The sequence below is a fragment of the Homo sapiens genome, chromosome 12 (assembly GCF_000001405.40).
Source record: "Homo sapiens chromosome 12, GRCh38.p14 Primary Assembly".
In the NCBI taxonomy this organism is placed as follows: domain Eukaryota; kingdom Metazoa; phylum Chordata; class Mammalia; order Primates; family Hominidae; genus Homo; species Homo sapiens.
The window spans coordinates 101596877-101624443 of NC_000012.12; the positions used below are offsets into that span (position 1 = coordinate 101596877).

General features: G+C 39.4%; 1 protein-coding gene and 1 long non-coding RNA gene across 33 annotated transcripts in view; one reads left to right on the forward strand and one right to left on the reverse strand.

The window, feature by feature from the left end:
* Positions 1–27567, forward strand: part of MYBPC1 (myosin binding protein C1) — a 100871-nt gene that overhangs the window by 1906 nt on the left and 71398 nt on the right. For 22 of the 31 annotated variants that reach the window (XM_017019316.2, XM_006719406.5, XM_006719410.5 and 19 more), the window contains exons 2-3: positions 17620–17655; positions 20326–20367. The exons of 8 other annotated variants lie outside the window; for them this stretch is intronic. In XM_017019316.2, coding sequence (XP_016874805.1) covers positions 17620–17655; positions 20326–20367 — 78 coding nt within the window. The remainder of the gene's footprint in view (positions 1–17619; positions 17656–20325; positions 20368–27567) is intronic. One more of the 31 variants, NM_001254720.3, reaches the window with a different exon arrangement.
* LOC105369938 (uncharacterized) lies at positions 1678–18908 on the reverse strand. 2 transcript variants are annotated; one of them, XR_007063421.1, is made up of 6 exons: positions 18827–18908; positions 17678–18317; positions 13504–13582; positions 4033–4144; positions 2546–2679; positions 1941–2301 (listed from the first exon to the last, which is right to left on the reverse strand). It is a non-coding gene; the product is annotated as an uncharacterized LOC105369938 (long non-coding RNA). The 2 variants fall into 2 exon arrangements; XR_001749279.2 differs by having other exon boundaries at positions 1678–2679.

The following is a 27567-nucleotide window of genomic DNA, read 5'->3' on the forward strand; positions in this document are numbered from 1 at the left end:
TCCACCCAGGACAGTAATTTTATACCCATAAATTCTTTGGTTAGTGTAAATTTGGATGATGGGGATTGGGGCAAGAAGAGTTACTGATATATTTAAAATCCATTGAGGAAGTACAGAGATTTTTTTGGTTCCCTTACCAGCAGAACTGATTCTTAAAGGAACTGTACCTTGAAAAGCTTTCCTTAGTGAAATAATTGCATTTTAATATTGTTTACATTAGAAGAGTAAGGAGTACGGCAATTCATGAACTATTCTGGTCCTTTCTTCTTCTCCTAACTGTGATTTCATTTTCACTGGGGTTAGTTTGATTGCATATAAGCCTCCCTCTGAAAAATAAAACATGGCCTAGAGCCAGTTCTTCAGAATCATTTCAAAATACCTGCAGAAACCCTCCCAAAGAACAGGCTCCTCCAGCCCATATGGGTCTTCTGAACTCTTCCCCACAGCTCGTAAAGCCATGCCCAGGAAGGCCATGACCACTTGCTGTGAATCTTAATAGGACACATGAGCTGGTTTGGCCCTCCTAGGATCCAGGAGGATCTGGCAACTCCTCAAAAGAGGCTGAGTTTTCAGCACCTGAAGGTACAAAAAATGTCTCACTCAACTACTTCCCAGCCTACCGTGGCCTAATTCTGGGAGTTTTCTTCTTAGATCTTGGGAGAGCTGGTTCTTCTAAGGAGAAGGAGGAAGGACAGATGTAACTTTGGATCTCGAAGAGGAAGTCTAATGGAAGTAATTAGTCAACGGTCCTTGTTTAGACTCTTGGAATATGCTGGGTGGCTCAGTGAGCCCTTTTGGAGAAAGCAAGTATTATTCTTAAGGAGTAACCACTTCCCATTGTTCTACTTTCTACCATCATCAATTGTATATTATGTATTCTTTGGAGAACTATGTTATTTGTACTGTCTATTCCAGATAAAACTTACCTTACACCACTTTGGATTCTTACAGAACCTAAGGCCTAGTACAATTAAGTTATTCCGATCAAATTGGGAGGATGTTGTAGGCAGTTTCAGATTTGTGGGGATCTCCCAGGATGCCTTTGATACATTCATTTATATATCAATTATTAATTGAGTACAAGTAAGTGCCCGAAAGTTAATTGCCCCCGGTTCCTACTGTGTAAAGAAATCACCTTTCTTTTTTTTTTTTTTTTTTTTTAAGACAGTATCTCACTCTGTGGCCCAGGCTGGAGTGCAGTGCCACAGTCTCCGCTCACTGCAGCCTTTGCCTCCCAGGTTCAAGTGATTCTTGTGCCTCAGTATCTCAAGTAGCTGGGATTACAGGTGCCCACCAACACGCCCAGCTAATTTTTGTATTTTTAGTAGAGACGAGGTTTCGCCATGTTGGCCAGGCTGGTCTCGAACCGCTGACCTCAGGTGGTCCACCTGCCTCTGCCTCCCAGAGTGCTGGGATTACAGGCATGAGCCACTGTGCCCGGCCAAGAAATCACCTTTCACTGGAAATTTCTCTTTTCCAGTCAAAAAGAAATTTTATCAACCTCAAACTAGACAATTGCAATAGCCTTTCTTCCGTGGCAGAATCTCTGTTCATTAAAGAATAGTATGAATGGCTGTTAAACCCATAAAAATGATTTCCTCAGAATTTTACCTCTGGAATATGTAATGATTAAAACCATAAAGCCTGATTCTTTAACATCCTGCGACAACTGTTAACTGGATTCCTTTAATTTTTTATTTATTTTTTATCTTTTTGAGAAAAGGTCTCATTCTGTCACCCAGGCTGGAATGCAGTGGTGCAATCATGGCTCACTGCAAACTCTGCCTCCCAGGCTCAAGCAATCCTCCCACCTCAGCCTCCCCGGTAGCTAGGACCACAGATGCATGCCATCATGCCCAGCTAATAGCTGATTTTGTTATTTTTAGTAGAGATGGGGGCCTCACAATATTGCCCAGGCTGTTCTCGAACTCCTGGGCTCAAGAGATCCACTTGTCTCTGTCTTCTAAAGTGCTGAGACTACAGGTGTGAGCCACTGTGCCTGGCCTATTAACTGTCAGATACTATAAAACCCAGAAAAATTCTCTTCTAAAACACTGAGTTGAGGCCTTAACATGAATTTCACTTTTTGTTTCTGATTTATCAGACCTTATTATATTTAATGTACTTAACTTGTCCGAAAAGGCAAAAGTTCCTCTTTGGTGCTTGTGTGTCATTCGAAAAATCTCAAGAGAGTCACTGTAGTTTTCTCATGTTCCGTGTAAGATCTCTTCTTGAAAACTCAAACGTATGGCCAATCACAGGTTCCTTTATGACCATAATTTTAAGGTGCCATTCTGATAACTTTAGGAAGCAAAGGCATGGCTTTGTTACTGCAGATTATTTTGCTGTGTCAACATACAATATTCATCTTATCCATCTTGGTCTACATTTCAATAGGAATAGATGGGACCATGGTAATAGAGAACAGTTTTGTTGTTGTTGTTGTTGTTGGGGTCCATAAGGGTTTTTCCATTTCTGTATCTTTTTTTTCTTGCTCTCTAGAGATTTCATCACATTTTAAAGTTTTGCCAAGCCAAAAAGCTACCTGAATGTAGAGCAGCATTCATCCCCTCTTGCCTATTTCTAAGCATTTCTCAGGGCTTAGTCATCCATCAGAAAAGGACCTCCCTTGATGGGAAAACTCCTTCTCATATCTCTTCTTTGACCTTCAGTTTCTACCTGCAAGAGAGTGAATGGCCTATTTCAAACACCGAAATCAATTTGTCTTTGGAAAGTCATCTTATATACAAATATTATCCTTACCTCAAATTGGGGAAAGGTTAATAATTTATGCAGAAAACTAAGAGAAAGGAATAGGGGAGGAGGAAAGATAGTTTATCAAGGGCAATTGTTTCCCTTTTGACTTCAAATGGTTCATCGAGGCCAAGCTGATGATTTCAATTGAAAATAAAGAAGTTGTATGAACGAATGCCATCATATTTTTTCCTCCTGAGAAAAACCACCATGCTGTGCTGGAGATTCATGGCATATATTTGAGCTCTGTGTTGTAAGAAGGAATACCCTAGGGCAAATGCGTGCTAGAGGGGCTTAATACTTGGCAGAATCCTTCTTTTTCAGTAGCCTGCTTTTATGACTGCTCCGACTGCACCTGTTAGGAAGATAAATAAAGGACTGGCCAATTCTTTCCTCTGAAGCGCCCTAAATATATCACTTTAAAAAGACTTTGGAAAAACAAGTTGTATCCTTACTTCTCACCCAGTAAATCTAAAGAAATTCCCTCTTGTTCCCAGGCCTTTCAAACAGTGAAGTCAGGAGTAAGGGAGACTGTGGACTGGTCAAAGGTGGAAGTTAGACTCACTAGCTGGTCTAAGGAATCCAGGAGGGTGGAAAACATGAAGAACTTACAATCCTTTATGCTCTCAATGACTCACTTTATTTTGGCCATGAGACACAGCCTTGAAACTTTTTTTTTTTTTTAGGCTCTGTATACACACACAATTCATAGAGTTTCCTTTTTAACAGCAATTTCAAAGTATCCCCGAATCAAACATGAATGTTGAAGTCAACTACCCAGACTGAAGTTGCTTTTAAAAAATGCTTGGACACAAAAACAAATAAATAAGTGGTCTCTTTAAAAACTTGAATAAATACAAAATGACATTTTTGCAATACTTTTGTAAACAAATACATTCTTCTTTTCAATTTTGTATGGTTGTGAGAGGAGATTGCTGTGTAATTATTGCTATTGTTTTTACAGTCCAAGGAAGCATTTTTGTTACTTTTATTTAAAATTATTGCAATTGTTTTATTTAAAAATTATTTTTAGGCTGTTTGTGGACACAGAGAAGAATTTTGATTATAATTAATAATGACTATTTTTATCTTCACTGCTCCTTAATTAGTCTATGAAAACTATATTAAGAGACACAAAATACTCTTGGCTGCCAGTATGTTCTGTGGTAATTCTAAACTTCATCTCTAGACATACTTAAGTGTGTTAGATGATAAAGAACAGGATTAAAGTTCTAGCAATCAAACATAAGTATGGAAATTTTAATTTCATGTGTGTACCTGAGAGCATGTGGCCACATCTTCTTTGTTATTATTCCATGTTAGTTCTTGATGGAAACAGATGTCTTTTCTGGAATCCATGGTTTGTTCAAAGTACTGCATCCTGGGGAAACTGAATAAATACACAGAAAGGTAGTAGCTGAATTAGTGTTCTGAGTTAGGTTAATCATGAAGTAGCTACTGTTTATTCATGAGGGGTTTCCTAAAATTTGAGAGCATACCAGTTAAGGAAAGCCAAACTGTGAAAAAGAAGAAAAGACTTTGTCACTTAATTTTCTACATGTATGCAAATTATCTCATAACTGGATAAGAAGAGGGCTTCTGTCCTTGCAGCTTTTTACAAAGACAGCCCCCCCAAAGTCAAAGTGATCATACTGTCTTGTCGTAATTCTGCTCTGTGTGGATAGGCTCAGTTTTAATTTACAAAGAGTATGTTTGTTTTAGACAGCCCAAAGATGGACCACAGGCCAAATTTCAAGATGTTCCCATTCATGGGACAGAGTATTTATGGGCTTTAACGTACATTTTCAGAGTAAACTTTTAGGTCCCATCAGATTGGGGCATGAATTGATTGATTTGGCAGAGGCGGAGACCAGAATCATTCAATCTCACACTTATTTCTCTTTCTATAATGAGTTCACAAAAAGCTAACTGTAATCTGACTTTCATTATGCCTTTCAAGTCTAAATCCACTTTGATAAGACTTGCCCTTTTATACTCCCTTAGGAATCCTTTTTAGGCCAATTTGGCACATCAGGGCAGCGTCTAAAATTACATTTAATAATATGTCAAATGTTAGATCTTATGATTTTGTTCTATTCTTTTTTTTTGATGTGTATTTAGCTATTTTGGTAAGTATTCTTCTTCTCTAAAATTGTCCAAATCTTTCCTAAATACTCTTTATAAATTGCTTTGCTTGCATCTGGTGATATCGTTTGCCTTCTAAAAATTTTAATGAATCTTGGAACAGAATGCTCTACTTAAAACTCAAAATGTGTCCTTTTTAATTCTACATTTTGTCATGTTTAGAGTTAGATGTCTTTAGGGTTGTTATGCACACAGTATGTGTCTTGGCTTTTTCTTTATGCATCTTAAATATTATGCATTATTAAACATGGTGACATAAAAAAAATTATACTATTTGTAGAACATTCTAGACAGCTCAAATTCCAGCTGCACCATAGACTGAATTACTTACACTTTGTATGCCTCTGTTTCCTCATCTGTATGTGAATAAAACAGTATCAACTCTTTGGGTCTCAGTAAGAATTAACTGAAATACACCAGGTAAAGTGCTTATTTTATCTTATTTTATTTTTTATTTGAGATGGAGTCTTGCTCTGTCGCCCAGGTCAGAGTGCAGTGGCATGATCTCGGCTCACTGCAACCTTCACCTCCCTGGTTCAAGCAATTCTCCTACCTCAGCCTCCTGAGTAGCTGGGGTTACAGGCATGCGCCACCACGCCCAGCTAATTTTTGTATTTTTTTGGTAGAGATAGGGTTTCAACATATTGGCCAGGCTGGTCTCAAACTCCTGACCTCAAGTGATCCACCTGCCTCGGCCTCCCAAAGTGCTGGGATTACAGGCATGAGCCACCATGCCCGGACAGGTAAAGTGCTTAGAACAGGGCCTAACATATGGAAAGATTTCAAGCATTTTCCTCCTAAAGCAGTAAACTCAGAAATCTTGTCTGGCACAAGGTATTAAATGCCTCATATTTCACATAAACTGATGGCATTTCCCTCAACATAAGGGATGTAACAACCACTGCTCACCTCCTCACTAGTGTAATATTTATAATACACGCCAAGAAAGCTGCTATGATAGTCATAACCATCATTCCCACCACTATATTTCCTTCTTTTACTTGTGGTGATACATCTTCGCTTTCACCCATAGAAGCTCAGATCAAATAAAAGGTCTATACTCCATGACCTCTGTTGTGTTCTTACTGAAATGAGCCATGTCCAATTCGGGGGTCTGTAGTTGTCAGCATAAGGTGATAACGGTTGGGTTGTTTCTTCACTGTTCTTGTGGGGACATGGCCTTTCCCACTTAGATGAAAGAGTTACCCTACAGAGTTGAACAATATCTATGTCTGTCTCCAAGGGTTATAAGTCTTGGGTTTGTGGGACTTTACAATTTCTCTCCCTGGCCAGGCGTGGTGGCTCATGCCTATAATCCCAGCACTTTGGGAGGCTGAGGTGGGAGGATCACCTGAGGTCGGGAGTTTGAGACCAGCCTGACCAACATGGAAAAACCCCATCTCTACTAAAAATACAAAATTAGCAGGGCATGGTGGCGCATGCCTGTAATCCCAGCTACTCAGGAGGCTGAGGCAGGAGAATCACTTGAACCTGGGAGAACGGAGGTTGTGGTGAGCCAAGATCGCGCCATTGCACTCCAACCTGGGCAACAAGAGTGAAACTCCGTCTCAAAAAAAAAAAAAAGAAGATTTCTCTCTCTTATCAGGGGTGCTTTTTGGTGGATAGGGTCTTCCTCAGTCTGCGCTTTCCTGAGATGACCACATAAAGAACTCTCCATGACCACATATGGATGTGGTGGGTGATTGATTGAGTGTCACTGTGTTTATTGCGGTGGAATTTTATTTTTATGACCCCACCTGGCGTCAGGACTCTTCTTCCTCTATTTTTAAAAAGTCACCCAATGTGAGGTCCAGCAACAGTTTGGAGCAAGGCCTTTAAGAAATTTATCCTATAACCCTATAGCCACATAAATAAGTGATACAAGATCAGGTACAATGGCTCATGCCTGTAATCCCAGCATTTTGGGAGGCCAAGGCCAGAGAATTGCTTAAGCCCAGGGGTTTGAGACCAGCCCAAGCAACATGGTGAAACAGCATGAAAAAATACAAAAATTATCTGGATGTGGTGGTGTACACCTGTAGTCCCAGCTACTTGGGAGGCTGAAGCAGGAGATTCACTTGAGCCCAGGAGGCTGCAATGAGCCATGATCATGCCACTGCACTCCTGCCTGGGTGGCAGAGTGAGACTCTGTCTCAAAATAATAATAACAATAATAACTGATTCAAGATCCCCAAAAAAGACACAGTAAAGGAGGAAACTGTTAACAATTCAAATTGCTTTTGCAATAATTTCTTTTTGACCTATGCTAAAATTTTAAGCTCCTTCAATCTGAGTAAATCTTCCCCTGCAAAACACACCCCATTTGATTCTTTAAAACATGGTAAGAGTAGTGAGGAAGGCAAGTCCTCAGATCTTAGCAATTTTCCCCCAGCCCCATGTTAACAATGAGAAGCTATTTGTTGCTATGTAATAAGGACCATATTTTAATCCTCTTCCTGTGTGAAATGACATCCTGAGATGAAACTTGCATAATTAGAAGGACAAAAGAATGAATTGACTAGGGGAGGAAAAAAAACCCTGTAGATTCAGGGAAATTCCAAAGGTTGAATAATGAGTCATTGAATATTTACATGATCAAGGTACAATTAGACTTCATCTATTCAGAACATTAGAGTACAGTACAGTCTTTGGCAACATTCGACCATAGTAAATAAATATGGATTAAATTGATTGAATCATTCTGAATAGCTGGATTCTCTGCACAGCTAAAGGTTAATTTTGTTATATAACCTCAGAGCCTTATTTTTTCCACCAGTTTGAATAGAAACATTCTTAAAATGTAATATATTACTCCTTGCTTTAAAAAATAAAGTACAGTGGATATAATTTGTCTTAAATTATAGATATCAGTTATTAGTAGCATGTGACACCCTGAGGGCCCAAATTATTTGCTCTTTTGAAAAATGGACTCATATTGATTTGTATTTTGAATTTCTTTCCAATTTTTCTTAGCTTTCCTACTTTATCCCTCCTAGAAGTGTGCTGTCTTCTTTAGTACTCTTGTCAGTCAGCATATGAAACTGTTCCCCTCACTCCCCTTTGTCCTTTATTATAGACGCCATTCCAGGTAATTAATCTGGCTGAGTAGAGTTTAGCACCACCTAAGGCACAACATTTAAGAAGGCACTGACTTTCTGGGTCACCAAAATGCAGGTTCAGCCCCTTAAGTGACCTCCTTAAATTTTGCTCCTCAGGCACCCTGCTTACCTTTCCCAAGTCCCAGGCCCTGGGTTTACTGAGGAGCTAGGGCCTTCTTCCATGAGGAAAACACAGAAACTCTTAGTGCCTGGAACGTAGGAGCTTGAGATAAATGCAGAGGCCCTTCAGAGGCCCTTTTATTTGGGTGGTCAGAAGCTGTTAGGTAAGTTGCTAGATAGCTGAATTCTGCATAGGGTAGGTGTTACTAGACACTATTGCCCTTTTGTCTCTATTATGGTGCACTTAGGAAAATGAGTTATTGCTTCAAAATCAATGTAAGGTTTTTATTTTGACTGATTCATTCATTTTATCAAAGCTGCAGATGTATATGATATATATGACCTGAGTTTGTTTTAAAAATAACATGCACAAAATCTTTTTCCAAAGAGATTTGCAATAAATTCAAAACCAGTGGTTCAAACCTTTTGGTCTCAGATCCCTTTGCACCCTTAACAATTATTGAATAAACTAAAGATCATTTGTTTATGTGCATAACTAGTGTATTATACACACTAACTTTAATTTGGAATACAGTAAATATTGTATTAGTGTGTCATATATTTACTGAATTAAAAATTAAAATTGGTTGGGCATGGTGGCTCATGCCTATAAACTCAGCACTCAGGGAAGCAGAGGCAGGTGGATCACCTGAGGTCAGGAGTTTGAGACCAGCCTGGCCAACATGGTGAAACCTTGTCTCTACTAAAAATACAAAAAATTAGCTGAGCGTGGTGGTGGACCCGTGTAATTCCAGCTACTCAGGAGGCTGAGGCAGGAGAATCTCTTGAACCTGGGAGGCAGAGGTTGTACTGAGCCGAGATCATGCCATTGCCCTCCAGCCTGGGCAACAAGAGCAAAACTGTGTCTCAAAATAAATAAATAAAAGTAAAATTGATAACGTTTAAAATACAAGAATACAGCCAAGTGTGGTGACTTATGCCTGTAATCCAAGCACTTTGGAAGGCTGAGGCGGGCAGATCACTTGAGCCCAGGAGTTCGAGACCAGCCTGAGAAACATGGCGAAACTTCGTCTCTACTAAAAATACAAAAATTAGTCAGGCATGGTACATGCCTGTAGACCCAGCTACTCAGGAGGCTGAGCTGGGAAGATCATCTGAGCCTGGGGAGATCGAGGCTGCAGTAAGCCGAGATCACGCCACTGCACTCCAGCCTGGGTGACAGAATGAGACCTTTCTTCTCAAAAAAGAAACACACACACACACACACACACACACACACACAAGAATGCACAAACAATTCTATTAGCTGTCAGAACATTGATATCATTACACATTATGTATCCTCTGGAAAACTTCACTGTCTATTTGTTAGAGAATATGAGTGAAAAAGGCAAATAATGTCTTAGCATTACTATTAGGAAAATCATTTTGACCTGGTAAACTCCCTACCTAGGCAGCTCCTGAAGATCCCAGACTGTACTTTGAGAACCACTAATATAAATCAATTTAGTATTTTTTTTTTTTTTTGGTATAGAGACAGGGTCTCACTACATTGCCCGGCCTGGTCTTGAACTCCTGAGCTCAAGCAAGCCACCCACCCCAGTCTCCTAAAGTGATGGGATTACAGGCTTGAGCCACCATGCCCAGCCTACTTCTTTTAAAAGTATGTAATTCTGTTAAATCCCAAAGTATAAAATATCCAGACCCATAATGCCTATAATGAATAGAGTGGGGAACAAAATAAGCAAGTAACTGTGAAAATGTTGAATTAAACATTGATTTTTGTCCAAATTCTTCATCTCTGCTACATAAGCAATTTGGCCAATAAAATACACTGTCATTTATATTTGCTGATTTTGGGGGGGTACACTGTTTTTTGTTTCTTTGTTTTGTTTTGTTTGAGTCTGTCACTCAGGCTGGAGTGCAGTGGTGCAATCTTGACTCACTGCAACCTTCGCCTACCCAGCTCAAGCAATCTTCCCACCTCAGCCTCCAAAGTAGCTGGGACCACAGGCACACATCACCATGCCCGACTAATTTCTTGTATTTTTGGTAGAGATGTGGTTTTGCCATGTTGCACAGGCTACTCGTGAACTCCTGAGCTCAAGCGATTCGATCTGCCCCCCAAAGTGCTGAGATCATAGGCGAGAGCCACTGCGCCCGGCCATGGGGTACACTTATGATTAACAGAATCAAACATCTCTAAGCATTATGAATGTCCCCATGAAAGCAATATTTTATGCTATGGGAGCTTCCATTGTGCTCGTGTCTGGGCATATGAGGTCCAGGTTGGAGTATGCATATTGTGTCAGACCCCACCATCAAGAGGGGAGACACCTGATAGTGTTTATTACATATTTAATCTAAAAAGAAAGATAATTTGCTATACCACCAAAAATGACAGTACAAGAGTTGGCCAGGTAGACCCTTCCTTATTCATCATGATGTTTACTAAACACAAAGCCTTCACATGTTCTATTTCAAAGCTAGAATTTTACTTTGAGAATAAGAAACGATAATCAGGAATAGCATACAATTTTCTCTTATGCCTCAAATTTCTAAAGAATATTTTTATTTTTAAAAAATTTTCCCCTAGAAAGTGACAGAAAGCCACAAAAACAGAACTAGAATCATAACATTTAATGATAACTGTTATTGTGTCTTCTTCTGTCTTTTTTATGCCTATATAATATATTCATATGATATAATTTTGCTCTCCATGCTATAAAAAAGCTAAATTAAATGGTATATAAGGGCCCATAAGATAGTTAAGTAGGTCAAATAATGTAATATTTGAGACAGCCCACGGGAAGAAGAGAACTGGGTGTTTTGTTGTGTTTTGTTTTGTTTTATGTGTATAGACGCAGACATATAAAAAGAGACAGGTTAATTAATTTTAAGACGTAAGATTTCTTTTTTTCCCCTTTAAGTTACTGGCCATGAAACCCTTGATCATTGAAAATAGAAATGGACTCCATTGGAGAGGGCCAAGCCATTTATGGAGTTACTGGGTCCCTAGTGTTTCTGCAGCAGCACAAAGGCCACATATGGGGCTGTCTATTTCATAGCTGCCACCAGTGCCCGTCAATTAGAATGCCTTGGCACAGGCTGTGCAGGCATGCCATTGGTGGCATACCTGTGCTTTTTACAGTAGGTGACCATAGGAAAAATCCACCATAAATAGATCTACCCCTTTGAAAGCATTTCAGTGCTGCAGAGGGAGAGAAAGTCTGTATATGTTCATTAGAAAGGATCAAAGAACAGCCGCCCTTGCCCAGGAAAGAGGGGGCTAGCTTTAGTTGTTGGTTCACAAACTAGTTCATTTTTAGGTTGTCCCTTAAAATATCCCCTTGGGCTTATTTTTTTCAAAAAGTATCCTTGTTTTTCCTTTTTATTCAAAAAGTTTTAAAATATGCTTCTTTAGTCCTGTTAGCATGTTTTCTAAAAAAGATATTGTGTGAGAGGACAAAGAAAGGAGAACAAAAAACCAACTGTATTTACCTAGCAAGAATGTTCCACAGAACTTTGCCCTTTGGCTTTTGAATAAGCAGAAGTACAGCAGGACCTCACCTCAATAAATATCGGTTTGCTTGTTTATGATTTAGAGAGCTTGCCAAAGGTGGGTGCCTCCCGACCATTGCAACACAGCTAACCTTGTTGACAACAGTTGGTGTGATTGACTGAGTGTTATTTGCTAAGAAACTGGTGGGACAGGTTCCTCGACACAAGTTGCTTTGCCGTTTTGGGGAGCCCCGATTTTAAAAGCGGGGGATTCCTTAGAAAGGTGAGGGGTGTAATATTCCTGAGAGTCAAAACTCTAGCCCTAATTGCTCTCCTGCCCTTGTTAAGAAATGGAAGACATGTGTTGACAGTAAGAAGAAATGTAAATGATGGAGCTGGGTGAATGCCCCTGGAGCCTTGGCCAGCGGGAGGGGAACCAATGAAAGACATAGTGTTCCTTGTGGGTAACACAGATGAAGAAAGCTGCCCACGGAATGCCAGGGGACGGTTATGGATTTCTTGGCAGCAAGGAGAAGCGGCTTTTGTGCAGGGAGGAACAGCCTGCCAGTCAACTATATTTATGGAGCACCTGCTGTGTGGAATCTGAAAAGGAGAAGGAGAAGGGCCTTGTCCTCAAGAAGCTTGTGATCAAAGGGAGAAGAAAAGTCCCCATCTACTGTAAACCCTTTAGGGTTCCCACTCACATTTGAAAAGGGAGTGGAACGGGTGATATTTAGGGGGTGTGCTGAGCCTTGTTACTCAAAGTGTGGGTTGTGGACCAGCAGCATCACCTGGGAGCCTTGTAAAAATGCAGAATCTTTTTAGTTTTAAAATTAAAAAAAAATTTTTTTCTGGAGATGGGGTCTTGCTCTGTCACCCCAGCTGGAGTATAGTGGTGCAATCTTGACTCACTGCAGCCTCCACCTCCTGGGCTTAAGTGATCCTCCCACCTCAGCCTCCCAAGTCGCTGGGACTTGGGAAGCACCAGCTAATGTAAAATGTTTTTTTATGAAGACAGGATTTCATTACGTTGCCCAGGTAGGTCTCAAACACCTGGGCTCAAGCGATCCTCCCACCTTGACCTCCCGAGCCACCATGCAGCCTTGAAATTCAGAATCATGAACCCTACTGCTGCAGACTCCAAGAGTCAGAATCTGCAGTTTGATCAGATCCCTAAGTGATTAATACGCATACTGCAGTTTGAGAAGTTCTAGAGGATTTCTGGAAGTAGTGAGTCTTGAATGTTTTAAGAGTGCAGAGTGAGTTGGTTCAATGACTCAATTGATACTAAAAGGCAATTCATTTACCTGTGAATTTCTTAAACACAAGTATCTTATCATATTGTAACCACTTTTATAACCTCTTTGACCTTGTTAAATTCATAATGGGAGTTCAATGAATTTAGGTTGCAAGGATGCTCCTGCCTATGGTCCCTATTCAGTGAGGTACAGTGGAAATTGCTGTTAATGAATGAATGTTACAGAGGCAGCCAATGAATTTTAGGAACATGTAAATTATTTTTAGAGAAGCGGGCAAAGCTAGCCATGACAGGACCTGTCAGAGACAAACATATGAATTAGAGCGAGAGAGATGCATGAGCAGTTCCTTCAAGGTAAATGGGGACACCTTGGGGGCTCTGAGACTTACCTGCAACACTTCATTTTCCATTTAAGTCATGTGCTGCTTGGCCTTTACCACTCCTTGGTTTCCCAGTTTCCAGGTTTAAGACAACTGGAATTCTCTGTTTCAAATGCTCTGAAAAGGACTAAGGTCCTATTTTCTCTGATCATTTCTGTCTCACCATGATTGATTAATTGAATCGTTGATTGATCTACTTATCTGCAGTGTAAAAACTATAATGCATAAAAATTGCATCGAGCTCAACTACTATTCCCACTTTACAGTAGGGGTATGAGGGACTCACCTCTTCTGTCCAGTCCCCAGATGCTTCCTCAGTCCCCATCCCAAATGCAAACACGTTTTAACACATGCAGCTCACAGACCTAGAAATAAGGCATATCCTTAGCAGGCAGCATGTGGAGGAAGACATAAGTGTCTTTTCGTAGGTGTGTCCGAGTAAAAATGATGATCATAATGATAAAAGCCATGAAAAGTTAAAGTCTATGTGACACTTGCCATGTTCTCTACCCCTGTTAATGCATTCATTCCTGCCAATAACCCCTGAGTTAGGCTGTGCTATTATTTCTCTCATACTTGAGGAAATCGATGTGCACCCCACTCCTACAAATAGGGAGGGCAACATCCATATGAGGTTATGTGGTCTTGAGAATAAGACCAAGCAATTCAGTGGGGAAAATGGTGTAATTGCGCTGAGAAGTCCACCAGTCCTCCTCTGCCTTGTCCAACATAGGTAGCAGGGAAAGGAAGTGCAGGCCCGGGCTGCAGAGCCCAGGCTCTGAGTCAAGCAAGCCTGGATCACAGCCTGGTTCCACACTCCCTAGGCTGTGGGATCTCAAAGAGTCTCAGTTCCCACTTGCAAAATGGAGATAATCATAGTACTGATTTCACAGAGTTGTAAGGATTATAAGGATTAATATGCACTAGGTCCTACATGCAGTGGGTTCTAATAAGGGGTTGCAATGTATTTACTCCTTCACTGGCTATAAAGTAAAGAGGTTTCTGTAATTTTGAGAAGAAAAAGTTCTGGATCTGCCTATTTACAGGCCGGTATACATTTTCCTATTTCTACTCCCTGCAACCATCCCACAACGGTCCTAGCAGTCCTAATATCCTATAATGTTTCTGCCATTCTCTCTGATAGAGTTGGCTATTCATGACCAATATTTTGTGGATTCAGTGGAAGTTGAATTAAGCCCTTTAAATTATCATTTTGATTTTTGGTCTGTTACATAGCCCATGGGGGCTACAGACAAAATGGAAATGGAGAATGTACATTTAGGGAACATTTACAGATTTAGTGCCCAAGATGATTCTCTTTTACGTATTTGATTAGAATTCACCATTGGCCTTAGTTGGATTTTAAGCAACTACAGTTACCCTTAAAAAATGGGAATTGGTCACATAGATGCTAAACAAGTATGATCAATTTAATAGATGTCCAACCACCAAAAGAAGCCCTCCTTAATTCTTTTGTATCAATTCTCTATGCATTTAATGTGTTTTCAGCAATAAAATGAGATACCAGGGAGATAAGAAAGGAAGGAAAGATCCCTGGCTTTGTTTAGATGGGGAGAAACAGAAACATAAATATACAGAGACTATTAGAAAATAATTAAGTCATAGTGAAAAGAGAATGTGTTATGATGTAGTCCAGAATGCAAAAGAATAAGGAAGAAGAACAGAATAGAATAATCAGCTCTGGCCGGGCACAGTGGCTCACGCCTGTAATCCCAGCATTTTGGGAGGCTGAGGCAGGTGGATCACAAGGTCAAGAGATCGAGACCATCCTGGCCAACATGGTGAAACCCTGTCTCTACTAAAAATACAAAAATTAGCTGGACATGGTGGCATGCACCTATAGTCCCAGCTACTCGGGAGGCTGAGGCAGGAGAATTGCTTGAACCCAGGAGGTGGACGTTGCAGTGAGCCAAGGTCACGCCACTGCACTCCAGCCTGGCGACAGAGCGAGACTCCATCTCAAAAAAAAAAGAAAAAAAAAAAAGAATAATCAGCTCTGAGAGCCTTGAGAAAAATATTGGCAATAAGGATAAAGATTGCCAAATGATAGTAATGGTAACAGTTCAATTATAGAGCTCTTTCTACATAGCAGGAACTACCCTATGCATCTTACATAGAATTGGCACCCTAAGAGGTTATTTATCTTGTTATTCTTATTTCACAGATGAAGAGCCCAAGGCTGTTAGAGATTAAGGAATTGCCCATGATTGCACAATGAATAAGGCAGAGTCAGGATTCAGACCTAAGTCTGACTCCATCACATGTTCAGAAAAAGCAGGAGGTCTGCTGGGAAGAACAGTGGCAGAAAGGTCAGAAGGGGAACAGAAATGGCTCTAGAACAGAGAGGCCACTGAGACGTAGTAAGAGAAGGGAGAGAAAGAAGTGCCCATGAACAACGGCTTTGAATGCGAACCTGGGGAGTGTAGACCTAACCAAATAATAATAGAAATACTTTCAAGTAGAATAATGGGATGAAACACAGTTGTAGGATAAATAACTTCTGCAGCTGTGGAGAAAGGAGACTGGAGGGATGAGAAACTTGTCTGTAGACAGAGCCAGGAAGAAGTCCTTGGGCATGGCATGGCAATGGCCCAGTCTGAAAGATAGCGTGTCAAAGAAATTGGCATCTCGCTCTCAGTATTCTGATATCCGTGTGCTGCAACAACTTATTCAAAGCCAAGAGGACAATATTAGATTTCCATTTCTGCACTCAGATCTCTGAAAATAAAATGCTTTGACTGACAGTTTCATGTTTTGGTTGACGATAACCCTAGTGATTCTTTCCATGATGTAGTGAAGAAACAAAAACATTTCTGACAATGCCATCCAAGGGACATTTGTGTTTTCACTGTATCTGCAAATTACATCACATCCTGCCACGTTTTCTTCTGTCCATCTATAAGTTTATGTTTTTTGTCTTTTGGTTATATATATCCTTCTCCCTCACTAGTAAATAGTAATAAACTTATTTATGGCCATCTGAATAAAAGTTTTTAAAAAACAATAAATTGGAGTTTATACTAGCCCCAAAATCAGTGATGGAAAAAGACATGATTGCATCCTGGCAGGCCTGCATTACTGTTTTCTTGATTTCTGTTACGGTGCAATCCATTCATTTTTCTATGCTCATTCCAGCCTTCCTAGACTAGAACGGGGCATTTGGCCTACACATAGTGGTGACTGTTCAGCCAAACTGCTTGTTATGGGGCATCGTCCGCCCTGCTTAACAAGAGTCACTTGTGGAAAAAAATGTGGAAAATCCCATATGCTGACAAAGGCTCCCAGGATTCCACAATGTGCCTATAATACAAAAACTTTGTTATCTTTATATTTTATTTAGTAATCAAGTAGAAGATAATTTTAGAAGCGATCACCTTCATTAACTGCCTCTTCTTGTCCTGGAGATGAAGCAGGTGGTTCATGAGTGAGTGATACTCACATGTCACTAATTCCCAATTCTGGGCATCCACAGGGATTTGGCACGGGAAATGCTATGCTCTTTGTTCATGTGGATGCCTTTACCTACTTGGAAATAGTATGTTCTTTAACAGAAGTTTCTTTGTCAGACTTCATAGCCAGACTGCTCTGTAATAACCAGACATCGAAAGCCAGGTAAACCAAAACCAAACCTCAAAACCAGAGCCTGGAAAATTTTGGATAGGTGTAGGTGGGAATCTACTCCAAGCACGTATGCTTCCAGAAACAACTCTGAGAGGGCTTAATTCTGTTTCCCAGTGAATTGCACCGTCCTTGTAAAACAACAACAACAAAGCACTGCAAAGCCAGAGGACTTTCATGTCATCTGCTTTCAGAAAGTGTCTCTCATGCAGGCAGAACAATGTTGGCGATGCAGTGGTGCTCTTGCTTTCTGGGAAAAAGGGGTCTCATTTCTGCACCGACCTTACCTTAGACTCTACGGGATATGCTCACCATATGCTTGCTACCCATTGTGTTTCACTTCATCCTAACAGCAGTCCTGCCCATATAAGATGCGGCCATTTCTCTAGAGGCAGGAAAACAGGCTCAGCACAAGTAAATGCCCGGCCTGCCTCTGGAGGGGATAACTAAGTGGCAAGGACACTCGGATCCCCATTCTACCTTTATCTTTCCATCACTACACCATGCCACCTCCTGGAAATCTATATACCACACATAAATGGCAGCATGTATGTCTTGGGCCTCTTGATGCAGTAGGGTGTGTGTGTGTGTGTGAGAGAGAGAGAGAGAGAGAGAAGAGAGAATGTGTTTCCCTCCTCCATCCCTCTTGTGAGTACACACAGGTGAGATGGCTGCCTGCAGCAGAAGCTGCCTGGGGCTGTAGAAAGCAGTTCTTCTCTGTGATAAATGAGCCTGACATTTCCATGACTCTTTCCATTTCTAGAAAATGAAGTGCCAGCCCCAGCCCCACCCCCGGAAGGTGAGTAAAAACACTCACTCACACACGTTTGGGCTGCAAATACAGAGGGTCCATCCCAGCATGATTTGGCCTCCACGGGTGCTGTGAGCTGTGAGCTTTAACCTAACTCCTACTGAGAAGTTGGATGGTGACCATTGTGATAAGTTGAGAATAATAAAAATAATACACTGTGTTTATATAATCCTCTTGTGTTAATCTAATTTGGATGGCACTTCATATATATTAGGGGGACAATTCTTATGAAACCTTTCAAATTATGTAAAAGTTATTATGTCCGCATTTTACAGTGTGGAGGCTGAGCCTCCATCCAAGGGGCTGAAGAATTTGTGAGGCTTTTTCCTATATAGTGAAGGTCAAACAAACCCACATCTTCTTTATGAGAGTGGGGAGTGGATCCATCTCTACCCTGGAAGATCAGCTGTCCCTTCTCAACTTGACATATGTCACTATTGAGCACCTCCAGAAACTCCCTAGCAGCTATCCAGAAAGGTTTGGTGACCTCTGAGGTTCAACGTGAGGACCAACTTCTTGAGTTCTTAGCACCATATTGTCCACCAGCTGGCAACAGGAAATGAGTACAGAGATCCAGTGAGACCCTTGGCAGGTAGGGCAGTCCCCTATGACACACAATATATGAAGCTTGTTTTTATGTCCACATACACCTAAAGAAGAAAAGAAAATTAAAAGATTAAAAGATTGAAAGCTCAATGTGGCTTAAACTCCCAACATGGCTCTTCAGAGTCATTTATCAGCCAAATAGCCCCAAGATGGAAGCAACCAAAATCATGTGCATTTTCCCATAAAGACTCCAAAGTGGCCTTCCTCATCCCTCTTCCTCCTTGAAAAGGATGAGAAACTGGCATCCCACTCAATAATTATTCACTAGGTATTTACCCTGTGCACAACTCTGACCTAACCCTTCAGAGGGATTCAGACATACCTATCATGTACGTATTGATAGCTAGGTGCAAGCATATTGTACCAGATGTAGTGGGGAACTCTACATAGAAAACATCTCCCTGTATTCAGTTTGTTTGCAGCCAAGTAGAAAATAGAATACAGCCTGGGAAACAATTAAATAAAATGCAGCCAAAACATTAAAACATTAGGCAATATTATAAGAACCCCCCGCCCCCCCCCCGCCCCCCCACACCAAGCAGTATGTGATTACTTGTGAGTTGCTTAAACTGGCAATGTGTTATGAAGCCAGCAGGTGACTGTAGACCTGGTCCAGCTTAGGTGAAAGCAGGAGTTTGGAGAAGGTCTCAGTTTCTAATCATCTTTTCACACAAAAACTTATGAGGCAATTATAAAGCTCTTCCTCTTCCTCCCTGGAGATCGTTTTTCTTTTTTCTTTGTTTTCTTTTTTCTTTTCTTTCTCTTTCTTGAGACAGGGTCTTGCTCTGTTATCCAAGCTGGAGCGCAGTGGCACCATCACAGCTCACCGCAGCCTCAAACTCTTGGGCGCAAGCAGAGATTGTTTTTCAGGAGGGCAGTTTGAGAAATCTAGCTGCTCACAAGAGGCCCTTTGTCCAGCTAAGAATACTAGATTCACACACTCAAACCCTAAACAGTATAGAGAAGTATTACTATGTGTCGAAATGAACGAAAACTGGCTCAGTGCCATATGAGTTCAAACGGGAAAGCTCAGATTTATTTTCTTTAGATCTTGATCTTGAAACTAGTGTAGATGTGTGACATTCTTCTTAGGATCTTCCTGTTCCTTGGTATGTTTTCTCCTTGCCCATAACAAATGTACTTTGACCAACATTGAGTACACTGAGAACCTACTGGCCATTATAAACAAACCTTTCCCTTCTGTTTTTCAGATCAGTTACTGCCACTGAGCCACTATCGTTTCCTTTGTATGTCATATTTCATATTCATTGCACAATATTGACTTCCTGTTGCTCAAATGTCTCCTCCCAAATTCTGCTAAAATTGTCCTTCTTAGTTAACTGAGATTTGAATCTCCATTCATCAGTCCGAAAAAAGAGAATGCATTCTTGAAACAATTCTTTTCTTACTGATTCCATAAGTCAGATACCATTTGCAGGTCTAAACTAATATGATCCCAAACACAGAGAAATGCAAACTAGATGGTCTCAACTGGTAGAATCTGATGTTACTGCTCTTGTTTTGCATTTATTGCCACTAAACCCAATCCAGAAGATTCACATGGACACTGAAACATTTTCTTTGAAGCAACATACACTGCACACAATTACATATTTTGTACTTTACTAGAAAATCTAGAAGTCCAAACTCTTGGAATCATTACATGGGGCAAACTGACTTTTCTTTAAAAAGTCAGTCCCTTGCTGAGGTCTAAAATAAAGTGGCTCACATTTGTTTTGCCTAATTCTACTCCAGCATGTTATATAACATGATCCAAGTATAGTTGAGTGCATTTTAACAAAATCTGTATTGAGTGTTCTTATGTGTACTTTTCCAAAAATGATCAGATTAATTGCTTTTCACTAAAAGTTTAGTGTGGCTCTAAGTTATAATTTCTAAATTCATAATTCATGTACAGCACGAGTATTCAGTATCATTTATGACCTGTTCTGCTGTCATTTATTTCTTCCCTCCCCCTCTCCACCCCGTTGCTCATCACACAATAAAATGCTTTAAGGCACTTTAAAAAATATGCTTGTACTTTCTACACAGAACCAAGTAAAGAGAAGGAGGCCGGAACTACACCAGCAAAAGGTGAGTTGGAGGGAGGGAGAGTGAGGCTGAAGTCAACAAAATTAGAAGCAGAAAGAAGTCAGTAATGATTGTCATGGTGGCTCCATAGAATTTCTCTGCATTATCTTTCGTTCTGCCTTTGCATCTTATCTGCAAGTCCCAATCAGTATAATGACAAATGGTGCATTGCTAAGTTTCCATTACATGTATTTCTAAAAGAAAAACAACAATGATAAAAATATCACAAGCACTTGTTGAGATGCCAGCAAATTAATTGGTAGTTTCCAAGTTTCGACATGCATGCTAAGAAAGAGAGGTGTTTGGTCTTCTTAGGATTATATCAATTGGGAAAATTATCTGAATTACCCGGTTTTTTTTTAAATTAAATGTTTTCATGTTATTGTGTGAACTGTTCCAGGGTTCACTAATAATTTTGAAGGCTAGCATCTCACTTTGTAACACTGACTATGTATTCATGTAGATTTATATAATGATTTCTACAGATACACAATATAACATTAAGAAGACATGTTGCCCCTTCTTGAACTGGAAACTATTCCTGTAATATTATCCTATTTTTACTTTATATGGAGATAGTCTCATTTTAGAAAATAATCTTAATCATATACTTCTGTTACTCCATGAAATGCTAATTCCTTTGTCTCACCATGGAAGAAATGATTATCATTACTGACCATCTGTCTTAAGCTAAGGAGCATTAGTCTTTCATAGAGGGAAGTTTCATGAAGGTGGATTAGACAGCTTTGCTGTATATGTTTGTATTGTCATTTTAAAAGTGAACCTTTTATTTGCATAATGAATAAAAAAGTTTAAATTTTGGAATAACTATTTCCTGACTGCAACAAGAAGTTTCTCTTTTTCCTGGACACTGCTCAAAACCATGTTAAGTATCTCTTTGTTCTTGATGTGTCATATTTCATTATCTAATTTCTATGATATTCTTGTGTCCTATACATTAGTAAAATACTTTTTTCTTTCTTTCAGTAGATTGGATTACTTTCCTTCAGCTAACTTGAACTTATGCTCTCATAATGAACGCATAACGTTAGTATACTCACTTTGTCCTTGACCTTCAGTGGCTCCCATGGAGAGTAACATGAATACTAATCCTGGCCACGTGGGCGCAGTTTGAAGGTTATTTGCTTATGGAATGCAGACAGTGCAAACTCCTAGAACTCCTTCCATGGGATGGTTTCAAGGAGGTTTGGGCATCCTGGCTGAAATTATTGTAATATTATTCTCTACAAGGCCAATGGGCATACACCTCTGTTTCCAAATTTGGAAAGGTGTTTGGGCCAGGCTGCAAGGCTCAACCAACAGAGCAGATGATGTAATCCCAGAGGGCAAGCTGTCAAAGTTTAAACAAAGCCTGTGCCTGACCCTTAATTTGAAAAGTCACCATATTATACTTGTATGCTTAAATGAGAAAATGTCTTTCCTTAAAGTCAACCAACCAACAAAAACTCTTTTATTTATGGAGAACACAGCGTGATGAAAGAGCAAGGCTAGATGACTAGGGCATTTTGAAATTAGTAGCATTTTTCTGACGTTTGCAGAAGATAAGCAAAACCATGACCACATGCAGTTGCATGCCCAGGTACAAAAACTGCCGTGTGTGTGTGTGTGTGTGTGTGTGTGTGTGTGTGTGTGTCTGTATATATATTATATAATGGCAAATACATGTATATATATATGTATTTGCCTTACATACCTAGGAAGCAAATCAATTTGGGATAGAAAGTGACATCCCTAAATAAAGAAGGTAAGTGAATGGAAGTTTATAATAAATATACAGTCCTCTTCATCAAGGACAGAGAAAATACCTATGCAAAAAGTAGACACAATAATTACTGCTACTTGGATATCCCCAGTTGAGAAAGGAGCCCTGCACGAGCATAAACAGGATTGATGGGTGCAACCTACCTTTTCTCCAGCATGAGCTAGAACTCTCCTGCTCTCCCTCCCTCCTCCAACTGTCAGTCTATTTTTTTTTTTTAACCATCCAACTCAGGTTTCACTTCTTTGAACAGCTTTCTCCTGACCATCCTGGCTTACTTTTATCTCCCCTTCTTTCTCCTGATTTCTCTTGGACCTGTTGCCTCCATCATTCAATCACTCTTGTCTCCACATAATCGCACATTAATGGTTGACTCCTTTTCCTAACAGGTTGTAAGCTTTTTGACATTGGCCCCCTCATCTTATTCCCTCCAGCATCTGGCAGAGAGCTGCACATAGCAATCATCTAATGAATACTTGCAAAATGAATGAGCAGTTGAATTTCCATGCTGGCTTAGCTGCTGACCATTCAATGGTAATCTGGATAGATTTTTATTTCCATTCAACATGTGTGCTGGGTAGGAGGATGAACATCCTATGTATGTTCTTAGTCACTGAGGGTTAGAATGAGACACTGCTGCAGAACAGAAGGATGATTTCCACTGTAAGACCAACTTGCCTAAAGCTACTGAAAATGGTCTTGCCTGGATTTTGGTACATTTTCAGCACTTTAACTGGTCTTCTATTTAATTGGTTGACATATATTCAATTAATTGCTCCAAATCTGTCACTATTAAGAATATTATTCATCGCAATCCAGCCTTAACATCATTCCCAGATTGATTGAATCATTCTGCAACAGCTCAGAAATGTTCTGAAAATGCTTTTTGAAGCCACAGAGAGTAGATTCTAGAAGATTTAATCTTAGAAGTAGTATTTGTGATTAGATTTGCCAACTTTTTCATATTTGCTAAAAGTCTCTGTCTGGAAAGCAGCCAATTTCCCAGCACGGGGTTTTATGATTGTTTGCTTGCTTGCTTGCTTGCATCTGGCTATCCATCCAGCTATCCTGTTCCTTAATACTGACCACTTTGTCCTGGGACCTGGGCAAAGTCTTCTGGAATTGAAACAAGAGAGATGACAATAAAGAAATGTGTTTAGCCCAACAGCAATAGCAGAAATTAGATGTGCAAATCTCCTTTAGAGGAATCATACCAGGAGGCAATGCCTTTATACAAATAACGCTGTCCTGGCTTAGAATTCTTTCATAATAATTATAGGTAGCAAATTGATGGAACACTAAATATAGATTCTTTTCTGTATGCTCAGTGGGGCCAAAGATTCGCCTTTTATTCTAGCACGTATTTATTCAGCAAGATTTGCTGAGTGTTGGCTACATGCCAGGCACAGATCTGGGCACTGGGTCCTGCCCTCCTGGAGCCAAGTTACACTTTATGGGGAAGAACAACCATCAACAGAGGAAGGTGGATTTCAGTTTTGAAAGCAGACAAGAGTCACAGAGGGCCATGTGTAGGGAATAACGTGGGTGATCAAGTGGGATCATACTTTTTTTTTGTCAACTAAGATCCAACATCCTATGTCTGAACATAGGGTAATTGGAGTAGGTTTCTGCTGTGCCTCAACAGCTGGCCCTGTGGAAAGTTCCGAAAATGGTTCTGTGGCTGGTCCAAAAAGTGACAGCAGCATTAGAATCAGAGGCCACTTTGAAGACCTGTACTCATTTCCATGCCTAAGTGCTGATATTTTATTTTTACATCTTATTAGCTTAGAGTCTGTATCTTTTCAATTGGTAAAGTTACTTCCTTTTTTTATTACTGCTTTTGGTAATCGTGAAAAGGGAAATAAAACCTTATTTTCTTTTCCCAGGCATTCACCACATAAACTATCGTGAATGAACCCTGTGTGTATTAAATATCTCACATAACCTGAGATGAAGTCTTTCTTTTTCATGAATGTGACTGGCAGATGAGGAAGTGAGTCAGCAGAAGTTCCAACCTGAATTATGTGATTTTGTTTTAAATTTAAAAAAATGATTTTTAAAAAAATTTAGGTTCTTTTACATCTGCAATAACATTACCCTGGTGCTTTTTACTAGCATGCTAAAATATTTTTGTACGATTTACCTTTAGGTGTCAATCAGCCATCTACTAAAATTTCTCCATGCTTAATCTATGTATTCTAATTACATTACTTCTTTGTAATGAACTTTGTTAAAAATTAATGTCACCACACTTTTCAATTCAAAGACACAGCCACTATTAGGCAAGATTGATTTAATAGATTTGAGGAAGAAAAATTCATTAAATGTACATACTTATTGTAGGATAAATCATGGTTTTATAAGCATCAAAGTGTGAAGGCATGTATCGTCTCATTAAGAAAATGCAATAAATTAACCGAATGCCTCAAAACATGATGAATTAATGTTAGCTATTGTTATTGTCTCCCATATTTTATTGCTGTTGTTATTTTGGTCACAAACACCAGTATGTACTACAACTGATTACTCTGCTTGAGGAATTCATGAATTTGTCTCAGTCAAACAAGGTATTGTATCAGTATTTCACTGTTTGTTTACAAGTCACATATATTTTAATTTTATAAGCTTTTGGTCTTTATTATTAAATCTCAACAATTGTCTCAAGTTTATATTGCTTAATTAATTTTAAAAGGCAATTTAAAATCAACCATAGGTAGGAGTTGCTTTATGCCCAAGAGAGTTTGGATAATTATAAGAATGTACACATTCTACTATCTCTGGAGCTTTTTATTCAGTTACAAGTCTCTCACTCATATTACGAAGTATTTATGTGTACTCCCCTAAAACCCCAGGCTTGTAATATAAGACTGGGTTCTTTCCCTACTTTCTAGAATTTCTTCTCTGGGAACTTCAGTTGTTTAAAGAATCATTTTTACAGTCTTACAAATGCTATTTTCCCATGACTTACAGATGAATAAAATTCTGCTTTAGTAAACTGCCCTTCTATGTAGCTAGGGGGAAGATAGCCCTGCTACGCTGAGTGTGTGGTTTCCCTGTATGTCATATTCCAACAAGCTAAAATCTGATGTTTATGTATTCATCATCACCACGTTTAGATAGAAAAAAATGAAATATGACTTACATATATTTTTTGTTTTGTTTGAAAATGTTGTAAGATGCTACGTCATTCATATATATGTTGTTGAACTGGACACAACCAGAAAGATTTGGATATTCAAATTACCTCCTAGCAATAGAACCTGGTTTCTATGAAAAATAAGAACCATTAAACATTTCAGTCTCATCGAACTCAACCAAATCAAGCCAGGCAATTTTTTGAGAATTTAAGGTCAGAATCCCAATATCTTAACTACATTTCCCAATCTAAAAAAAAGTGCCAGGACTGAAGCAACTTTTAAAAGAAAGGAAACTGGCTGGGTGAGATGGCTTGTGCCTGTAATCCTAGCACTTTGGGAGGCTGAGGCAGGAGGATCACTTGAGCTCAAGAGTTTGAGACCAGCCTAGCCAACATGGTGAAACCCCATCTCCAATAAAAATACAAAAATTAGCCAGGCATGGTGACAAACACCTGTATTTCCAGCTACTCAGGAGACCGAGGCAGAAGAATTGCTTGAACCTGGAAGGCGGAGGTTGCAGTGAGCTGAGATGGTGCCACTGCACTCCAGCCTGGGCGACAGAGTGAGACTCTGTCTAAAAAAAAATTAATTAATAAATAAAAATAAAAGAAAGGAAACAGTAAGCTTTGCTCATGTTGATTATGTTTTCTAGCACTTTCATAAATTTGAAAATTTATGTGCAATGAATCCAAGATTGCCAATTGAGAAGTAATTGCTATTTGACACTACTGTTGGGTGATCTAGACGAAGACTATTTCATGATACTCTGAAGCGCTGCATTCATATGTATTCCTTCATGGTCTAAAACAACTGTGCATGTCCTCCAAATAGTCTTAACATTTAGTAGACTTTGAAACTACTCACCTATCAAATTTTTGCTTAAAAAACAGATTGCCGGCCAGGTGCTGTGCCTCCTCATGCCTGTAATCCCAGCACTTTGGGAGGCCAAGGCAGGAGGATTGCCTGAGCCCAGGAGTTCAAGACCAGCCTGGCCAATATGGTGAAACCCTGTCTCTACTAAAAATACAAAAATTAGCTGGGTGTGGTGGCAGACGTCTGTAGTCTCAGCTACTCAGGAGGTTGAGGCACAAGAATTGCTTGAAACTGGGAGGTAGAGGTTGCAGTGAGCCGAGATTGTGCCACTGCACTCCAGCCTGGGCGATAGAGGGAGACTCTGTCTCAAAAAACAAACAAAAAAACCCAGACTGCCATCATTACATATTCTATGCATGTAACAAACCATCACATGTACCCCATAAATATGTGCAAATATTATGATGTATCAATCAATTTTTTAAAGACAAGATTATTTTTCTTCATTTTAGTTTCATGAAAGTAAGTGAATACTCTTCTCATTTTGTGTTCTAGGTAATTAACTCAATGTTTCATTATGCTCTGTGCACAAACAAAAAGTAAACCACCACAAAACCTTTATAAAGTATTCATTTGAATCAAAATGGTTCAAGCGTCCAGTTTATATTTAATAAAGAAAGCTCCTTTCTAGGACTTGATTGAATTTTAACTTCATTTCTGTTAATTTTTACAGGACTTTAAATCAACAATCTTATATATTTCAGTAAATAAAAACCTCTGAATAGGTAACAAGAATAAAGTACTAAATACTGAATTAAATCTATGGCAAGTAATATTATGGGAAAATTGTGAGTTATTTTCGTTTTGAACATGTAAAATTTTAATTATTTCACAGTCTTCTGAATAACGGAATTCTTCTAATAGCTCAGAAATACCTATACCGGGCAAATGCACAATGTTGTGGAATGTGAATGCATGCATATTAGTTCAGGAGAAAAAATTCAAAATGAACTAAGTTTGGGAGGTGCTAACGACCATATCATTTCTTGTCACCCCCACTTCCAGTACACATTATTTGCACACTGAGAGCTTTGAGATATCCTGCAGTAAACACATAAACACAAAACAATAAAATACAAGCATTTAATTCCAGCCTAGCATTTTTCAAGCTTCTTTGACCACAGAGAGCTTCCTGTTAAGAATCTCAAATCCCACATGACCCAGTAAATCACCTCTTGGATTCTGAAGTAATGATATTAATATATTATATTAGTAATTTTATTAAAAAGTAATAACACATATCCCTGTTTGACAGTTTGGGAAAAGAAATTTCAGGCCAGTGGGTAATACTTGTAGTAAATATTCTAATAGATTATATAAAAACATACTATTTTATGTCTTTTTGTCAGGAATTTTTAAAGCACTTTTTAATTAACATTCCTGGGCATGTATTTCCTGTATCCTGCTTGTACA